This window comes from Homo sapiens, chromosome 2 (assembly GCF_000001405.40).
Source record: "Homo sapiens chromosome 2, GRCh38.p14 Primary Assembly".
Classification (NCBI taxonomy): Eukaryota; Metazoa; Chordata; class Mammalia; order Primates; family Hominidae; genus Homo; species Homo sapiens.
The window spans coordinates 9,709,479-9,718,557 of NC_000002.12; the positions used below are offsets into that span (position 1 = coordinate 9,709,479).

General features: G+C 49.3%; 1 long non-coding RNA gene across 5 annotated transcripts in view; it reads left to right on the top strand.

Annotated features, from left to right (window-relative positions):
* The window catches only part of LOC105373418 (uncharacterized), a 74,555-nt gene extending 70,734 nt beyond the window's left edge, over positions 1 to 3,821 (top strand). For 4 of the 5 annotated variants that reach the window (NR_187864.1, NR_187862.1, NR_187866.1 and 1 more), the window contains one exon: positions 2,726 to 3,821. This is a non-coding gene — a long non-coding RNA (uncharacterized LOC105373418). The remainder of the gene's footprint in view (positions 1 to 2,725) is intronic. The other variant, NR_187865.1, reaches the window with a different exon arrangement.
* Positions 3,822 to 9,079: the final 5,258 nt, after the last annotated feature.

Here is a 9,079-nt window from a genome sequence, read left to right on the forward strand (position 1 = left end):
CTTGGAAGCCCATTTCCATGAGGCTACGCCTCCCCTGGGCTACTCCTAGTCCATGGCTTGGCCTGGCAGAGACACGGAGGAAAGGTGGGAGATGCAGGCTTGCTGTGATGGAAGACTTTGGCTGGAGGATCCCTGGCTGTCTTGCTGAGCTCAGAACTGCATTGCTCTGTGACACCCTTGCACACAACCTTCCTTCCTTCCCTCTTTCCTTCACCCAGGGCCAGGCCCGCATCGTGGGCTGATGGCTCTCCCAGCCTCCCCCAACCCCTGCTGCATTCTTCCTCACTGGCCTTGCCCTGATCACATCTCTCAAGTGGCCAATGCCATCTGGGTGTCTGCATTTTGGAAGATCAGAAACAACCCACACAGAAAAACAGTGGTGAAAGGACTGCTAGCTGAACCCCAGCATCTGTTCGCTGTTTCTTCCACAGTGAAGGAATTTTACCCAGTCTCCTGGAATGAAGACTACGTTTCCCAGGCTCCCTTGCAGCTAGCTGCAGCGTCACTGCTAGGCCTGGTCCATAAGATCTGAATGCAAGTGAACCCTGCAACTCCTGGATTGCATGCCCTCAGAGGGACGTGGTGGCAGTGCTCCTTCATGGACTCCGTGAGGAGGCGACACCTTGGGGGTGGCAGAGCAATAAGACAGAAGGAGGCTGGGTCCCTGCTGGCTTTGCAGTGCAGAGGCGCCGTGCCTTCTTAGACTTCTATGTGGGAGGGAAAGTCTTGCATCTTGTTTAAATTGCTGGTACTCTGAACATCTGTTACACCTACACAGCCAAACCCAATATCTCAACTGATTCAGATTTGAATTTTGGCTTAGTTGACAAAGCACTGGATTGTACAGGGCCTCAAAAGCCACATCATTAGTAGAAGGCAGGTTAATTGCAGAACCAGTCCAATTTGGCTCAACTTTATCAGTAACAAAATGATGAGTTGTTTTTCTGTTGAAACAGCCCCAGGTTGCAAGGCAGGTAACCTGAGCATGCCCAGATGAACTAAGTGTGCCTGACTCATGACCCCAGAGCCGGCTGGAATGGAAAAAGTTAACCACAGGTGGAAACTAAGTACTAGGATCCAGGAATGGGGACCGAATGAGGAAGCCCGGCGTGCCCTCTTTTGTTGCTGCCCTCTTTTGTTGCTGCACAGACTTAAGAGTCGAGAACCTTTTTTTTTTTTTTTTGAGACAGAGTCTCGCTTTGTTGCCGAAGTGCTGGAGTGCAGTGGGTCAAGCTTAGCTCACTTCAGCCTCCGCCTCCTGGGTTCAAGCGATCCTCCTGCCTCAGCCTCCCAAGTAGCTGGGATTACAGGCACCCACCAGCATGCCTGGATAATTTTTGTATTTTTAGTAGAGACTGGGTTTCACCATGTTGGCCAGGCTGGTTTCAAACTCCGGACCTCAAGTGATCCGCCCGCCTCAGCCTCCCAAAGTGCTGAGATTACAGGCGTGAGCCACTGCACCTGGCCAAGAGCCAAGGACCTGTCACGGCCTCTTTGCATGAACCTATCAGATCATGCTTCTTTGCACCTTCCTCTCTCTTTCACTGTTACTCTCTGCCTATAAATCCCGACCCCAGACCCCAGCTCAGGGAGACAGATTTGGGTGTTGCCTCCTGTCTCCTTGCAAGCCAGCTCACAATAAAGCTTTTGCTTGTCTCAAAAGCCAGTGCCATAATATTGGCCTCTGTGTGCTTCAGGCAGCAAGCCCATTGCTGGGTAACAGTAGCCCAGGGTGGAGGGAGAACGAGCGGGAGGCAGGGGAGCACAGTGGCCACGAGCACGGTGAACCGTTCTAGTGTGGCGCTTGGCACAGAGGAAGCCCTCAGGAAAGGCAGGTGTTACCCTTACGGCTATTACGATTGTGATTATGGAAGCCAGTCACACAGTGGGGTAGCAAGATTAGGATTAGCCCTGAGTGTGGAGCAATGTCTGCCATGGTCTGAAAGTGAGGCAAGAGCCTGACCTAGGGCTGAGAAATAATTTGAATCAGTTGTGGAGCAGCAAGTTGATTAGATAGCAGGGGAAAAAAATCAACCCCAAGGCAGCAGAGATGCTTTTCTAGTCCCACAGGGGAAGACTTCCGGCCTGCGAGGTAGACACCATCCTGCTCATACCTTGAAGGCCCAGGGAAAATGGGAATCGGCCACCATGTTGGGTGGTTTGGGCCACTGCATCAGCACCCCTGAGCCCTGGCACCGCCCGCTGTGACTGCAGAAGCAGGGGAATTTCTCAGCCAGAGTGATCCATTTTGGATGCCAGTACCATGGGAGGATGCCAGTGGTCAGCTCTTTCCTTCCCTTGTCCTATGTGTGCCCTGAGGTCAGCAGCTAAGTCACATCTGACCTGCCCCCCATGCAGGAGTGACTGGGAGGACAGGATAAAAGCAGCTCCCCAGCCTGGCACCTGGGGCTCTTCACAACCTGCAGCCCCCAGTCTAGCTCCTGCTTCACCCCCAGCCGGATGCTCGTCCCACCATCACACCAAGCCTCACTCCTGTAACTATGCTTTTGCCTGGGCCATTCCCTTGAGCCTTTCCCTCTTCTCCCTCTGGCCAGCTCCTATTCATTCTGCAGTGCTCAGTCCAACATCACCGCTGGGAAGCTCAGCTTTCTTGATTGCTCCCTCCTCTCCTGGGACCCTGCTCATATGTGTCTTTTGCTAGACAGAAGGCTCCTGAGGAGCCAGGATTCTCACCTTTTTTTTTTTTTTTCTCCATCCCCATCAGGCCACAAAATGCATGGCACAGGGAAGGGTTTGACAACTTTTTGATGGATGAACAAAGAAGATTCAAGCCACTTGTCAACAAGCTCAAAGTGATTGAAAGTGGAAGCATTTACCCACACGCTCATGCAGAAAATGACAGGAAATCATCCAGAGACACTTGTGACAGAGATGAGAACTGTCACTGTTGAGAGGTGCTGCGGAGATGGGTGTCCACGGATGACCGTTCGGAGGCCGACTTCGGGGATGTGGCCCCATTAGCTCAAGAGTGGGTGACTCCCTACCACACTGATGGCGTTGGCCAGGACAGGACAAGCCTACTGCAGTGACACAGTGTCACTGATCCCTGATGCCCACGTGGGTGTTTTACTTTAGCTAATGCTGCAGAGATAATGCAGACAGAGAAATGAGGCCCCAGCGCTGAGCAGCCCAATCACCTGGTTGTAAGCAGCGAGTGTTTCTGGCTCTGCTCCTGGGCCCCAAACCACTGTGGGCTCACGAAGAATCTTTCAGAGTTGGAGTCAGAATGTCAGGGTTTGAGTGTAGTCTCCACCCCTTAATGACCTTGCATTGATAATTCTATTCCCCGAGCCTCATTTTACCCATCTATAAAATGAGGACAAATAGTTTATTTCCTGGTTACTTCACTAAGATGTTGTATCAAAAAAGAATATATGCAATAAAATGCTTTCCTAAGTAAAAAAAGATTTCCTAAGTCAAACACAGATTTTATTTTATATTTTTAGTTAAGGTTTGCAAAATTAGATGTCAGATTAGGAAATCCGGACTACCGTGTGTGATCAGCAAAGTTATGACTTCAAAAGAAAACATAATTGGCGGAAAAACCTTACATGTGAGGCAGACATGATGAGATCTAACAACCGGTGGGCATTGGTGGATGAGTTCTGTCTTACCTTGTGTTTATCTTTTGAAATCTAGGTAATCTTAGCCAGGAGCTATGTCTCATGTCAATAATCGCAGCAGTTTGGGAGGCTGAGGCGGGAAGATCACTTGAGCCCAGGAGTTCGAGACGAGCCTGAGCAACACAGTGAGACCTCATCTCTACAAAAAATTAAAATAAAATAAAATAAAATAAAATCTAGATAATCTGACCTGGTGACTTAAGCACACACACACACACAACACAACACACACTACACACAACACACAGACACACACACACACACACACACACACACACACACACACACACAGCCTGGCCAGTCTTTGGCTCCTAGTATAAGTCTCAACACTGGGCTTTGTGATTCCACATGAGCTATTTCAAATTCTACCTTTACCAAACACAGTAGGTAAAATCCTAGTTTCAGGCATAGCTTCTTGGACAGAGAGAGGTATTATTATTGTTACCACTAAAAATAAAAATAGGAGAATATTTGCCTCACATATAATAGCTAATGGGCTTGTATACTTAATATAAAAGAACACTTACTAAAAAATAAATCAGGAAAAATATTCCAACAGAAAAAAATGGACAACAGACCCAAGATAAGAAGTGTAAATATAGGCCGGGCATGGTGTCTCACACCTGTAATCCCAGCACTTTGGGAGGCCAAGGTGGGCAGATTACCTGAGGTCAGGAGTTCAAGACCAGCCTGGCCAACATGGTGAAACCCCATCTTTACTAAAAAAATACAAAAATTAACCGGGTGTGGTGGCGTATTCCTGTAATCCCAGCTAGTTGGGAGGCTGAGGCAGGAGAATCGCTTGAACCCAGAAAGTGGAGGTTGCTGTAAGCCAAGATCACGCCACTGCCCTCCATCTTGGGTGACAGAGCGAGAGTCCATCTCAAAAAAAAAAAAGTGTAAACATACAATAAGCATTCCTACAGAAACTTAACCTCATTAATGATTAAAAATTCATGTTAAAATAATAGGAAAACACAATGCTTTGGCTATGAAATCAAGAAGACTGTAAATATGGCAATATAGGGCCGGGCATGGTGGCTCACGCCTATGATCCCAGCACTTTGGGAGGCCAAAGTCGGTGGATCCTCTGAGCTCAGGAGTTTGAGACCAGCATGGGCAACATAGCGAGACCCCCCACCCCGAATCTCTACAAAAATTAAAAATTAGCTGGGCATGGTGGTGCACGCCTGTGGTCCCAGCTACTTGGGAGGCTGAGGCAGGAGGATCATTGAGCCCAGGAATTTGAGGCTGCAGTGAGCCATGATTGTGTCACTGCACTCCAGCCTGGGCAAGAGAGTGAGACCTTATCTCTAAAAAAGAAAATACGGCAATATATATCAAAAGTCACAAAAGCACATTTGCCACAGAAGTTTTATTTCTAAGAAAAATGTATGAAATTAGAAAATGCTCAAAGCTTTAGCTACAAGATTGTTCACTCCTAATAGCTCTGTCTGTAATAGTGAATAATTGAACATAACCGACAGAATTATAGGGCAAAAAAACCAAGGCACCTTTTGAGGGATTACTTAAGATCACCACAGTGCTGTTAGAGAGTGCACACGCACGCACACACACACGTCTAGCAGGATGTTCACAAATATGTTAAGTGGGCAGCTGGGTGGTAAGATTATGGGTGGTAAGACTTTTATGGCTTTTTTCCCCTTATCTTTATTTTGTACTTTATCTGCAGTGAGCATGTTAAGCATATGTCATGGGAAAGTCTGTAAAGGTTCTCATGGGTGAGCGCTTCCCAGTACTGGGGCCTCCGCCACGCTCTCTTCTTCAGTCCTCACTCGAAGCAGGGAGAGCTCGGGTGATGGGAAAGGGGCCCGCGGCTGGCCAGGGGAGCTGGGTGTGAATCAGATGTGCCTGGTTCCAAAGCCCAAGCTCTCAGCACTTGATGTGCGCCAGTAAGTGGCTGATGGGAAGTGGTGTACGCTTGGTACAGGGTGTTCTCTCTGGTTCCCTAGAGAACCAGAACTTCCAGGTATGTCTCTTCCGGGGCTGGAGTGCTTCTGAGTAGGGGCCTTCCACACTCTCTGGAGTGCTATTTAAACCGGGCTCATTAGGACTCATTGGACACAGTCTGGCTGTCGAGAGCTCTGCAACGTCCTGCCCATCCTCCTAGCTGCTCCGTGGCCTCTGGAAGCCATGGTTTGGTCCATGTGAATTTAAGGGATTGCAGCTCTGACTGGAAGAGCAGGAATTCAGGGCCTTGAGCCTGCCCTGCCTGCGTTCCTTACTGGCTGAGGGACTTTGGGAAAATCAGGTTGCCTTGTTGAGTCTGTTTCTCCAACCTCCAGATTGGGAGAGTGTTTCCTGTCCCACCTCCTCTAGGGTTGCTTGAGGAATGCACTAGGAGTGTGATAAGCAGCAGTACTTGTGGGAAGGGTGGATGTAAAAGTGCTCGCACAATTAACTTCTCGGGCTGGTATGCAAGTTTCTTGTTCTCTTTGAACAAGCGTCCTTGACTGCAAAGCCAGTGATGTATCTATCTCGCCCACCATTTCCTGATATGCACTGTTATGGAGAGAGAATGGGGAACGGCTTACATGTGGGGGTTTTTAGGGGGGCCAATGATAGGTATCCAAATACTTCAGTGTGATATCCTTGGCACAGAACAGGAGAATTTAGTATGGACAAGTTGGCAATCGAACTCCTGAATCATCATTTGCATGTGTGTGCAGGTGTCCATAGGATGACCGCATGGCTATTTGGTGATGCTCTCCAGCCCAGGGAAGGAGATGAGGGAGACAGCCATGGTTGTGGGAAGATTTCTGTTTGTTACAAACACGGGCAATGTTTGATGATATCCTGTCCTGCGTGCCCCGGCACTGGGTTTAAACCTAATTTTATTTGGTCACCTACGGTGTTGCAGCATGAAGAAAGAACACAGGCTCTGCCCCTTACCAGGAGCAGGGCTTTGAGTTATTTAATGCCTCGGAGACTCAATTGCTTTCCCTGCATCCCAGTGGAAGCAAGTCCATGCTCTGCCCATCCCAGCAGGTGGGTGAGACCGTTGTTAGCAGCAGCACCTGGCCCTGCCTCAGTCAGAGCAGGCCCTCAACAGGGCTGTGGATTCGATGGCCCCTGACTTGAAACTCTGGCCTGGCTCAGAGCCTTTCTGGATTTGAGGGAAATGCATGTTGGATTTGGGGTGCACAGCCCAGGAGACATGGTTTCCTTTAGCACCTTGGGTTTCTGACAGGCTCTGAGGGCACTGAGTTCTGGAATGAGGGCTGCATGAACCAGAAGCCCCCGAGATGTGGAATGTTGGCAGAGCACAGAAGTCACAGCTGATTCGTTATACATTCACTAAGTCTCTGTCACCAATGTTTTGGGACAAGTATCTTGTGCCAGGTGCTGGTAAGTCTTCACTCCACCCCTTACTGGCTATGGGAGGAGGCACAGAGGTCACCTCTGTAAGCCTTAGTTTCCTTATCATAAAAATGAAAATGCGTGCACTTTGGAAAGCTAAGGTGGGAGGATCGCTTGAACCCAGGAGTTTGAGACAAGCCTGGGTAACATAGTGAGACCCTGTCTCTATACATAAGAGGAAAAAAGAAGAAAAAAATTAGCTGGGCATGGTGGCATGCGCCTGTAGTCCCAGCTACTCGGGAGGCTGAGGTAGGAGGATCCCTTGAGCCCAGGAGGTCAAGGCTGCAGTGAGCCATGATCATGCCACTGCACTCCAGCCTGGGTGATGAAACTAGACTCTGTCTCCAAAAAAAATAAGTGGTAGTGGGGGATGCCATGACCAGCTCTGGTCTTATCCACCTTGTAGGGCCTTGTGAGGGAGAGGGTGGCTGTCTTGGGCAAGAGAACCTCAGGCAAGACTAGGGCTCTCCTAATTTTTGGGCTCCTGTCTTGGAGTAATTTATTCCATGGCCTCAGTGGCTCATCTGTAAAATGGGGTAATAATACTGTAATGACAATGGGGTTGCTAGGAGGAGTCCTGAGATAATGTTTGCAAAGTGTCTGCCCCAGCCCAGACCCTCAATCCCATACAACCCTCTCTGCACCACAGTCCAAGGGGGCATCCTCCTCCCACCAGCTTTGTTGAGGATTGTGGGAGGCATTCTAACTTGAAGATGTGTTTTCAGCTAAATCTGCCCTTCTGAGAGAGAGAGTGTTGCTTTGGCAGGGTGGTTCCATTCAGCACTCACAGTGGACAAGGCCCTGGATGCTAGTTTCTGGGTGGACACACAGATGGATAAACCAACCTTGTGCAGCACGCAGTTTAAAGAGGAAGATGGACTGGGCGTGGTGGCTCACGGCTGTAATCCCAGCAATTTGGGAGGTGGGGGCAGGTGGATCACCTGAGGTCAGGAGTTCCAGACCAGTCTGGCCAACATGGCAAAACCCTGTCTCTACTAAAAATAGAAACAAATTAGCCGGGCGTGGTGGCAGGTGCCTGTAGTCCCAGCTACTTGGAAGGCTGAGGCAGGAGAATTGCTTGAACCCAGGAGGCGAAGGTTGCAGTGAGCAGAGATCACATCATTGCACTCCAGCCTGGGTGACAGAGCAAGACTCTGTCTCAATTAAAATAAAATAAAACAAAAGAGGGAGATGGACAGACACATAGGACAGAATGATCAAAGGCCCACACAAAAGGTACACAGCAGAGAGGAAGGGGTTTAAGTGGCTGGGAGAGGGGGACTCAGGGGTTGGATGCTGGGGTCCAGAGAGGCCTTTGATGAATGGAGAAGGTGGGAAAGTTATTTCCCAGAAAAATACAGGAAGGTGAAAGGGTCCCCACCCCTCCCCAGCTCCTCTGGGGAGACTGTCTGGAATGGAGGTGGGTGGCAGTAGGTGGCCCTGGGAAGCAATGTGGGGTCAGGGTCTTGAAGGGACTTGGATGCCACACTGAGGAGCTTAGGATTGATTATGATGGAGGAAAACCACGCTGGTGGTTTTGCCAAGCAGAATCCCAAGGGACTCATTGCACCCACCAGGGTTCTCTGAGGCCCCAGCTGCAGAGGGCAAGGCGGAGCCTGAAGGCTTCTGTATTAGTCCATTTTCACACTGCTGATAAAGACATACTTGAGACTGGGAAGAGAAAGAGGTTTAATTGGACTTAAAGTTCCACATGGCTGGAGAGGCCTCAGAATTATGGCAGGAGGTGAAAGGCACTTCTCACATGGCGGCGGCAAGAGAAAATGAAAAGATACAAAAGGAGAAATCCCTGATAAGGAAAGCCATCAGATCTCGTGAGACTTATTCACGTCCATGAGAACAGTATGGGGGAAACTGCCATCACGATTCAAATTATCTCCCACCAGGTCCCTCCCACAACACATGGGAATTATGGAAGCTACAATTCAAGATGAGTTTTGGGTGGGGACACAGTCAAACCATATTAGCTTTCCACCACAGAGGTCAGAGGGAGGGGAAGAGGGAAGCGAGGCCTTCCAATTCATCTCTGGCCCTGG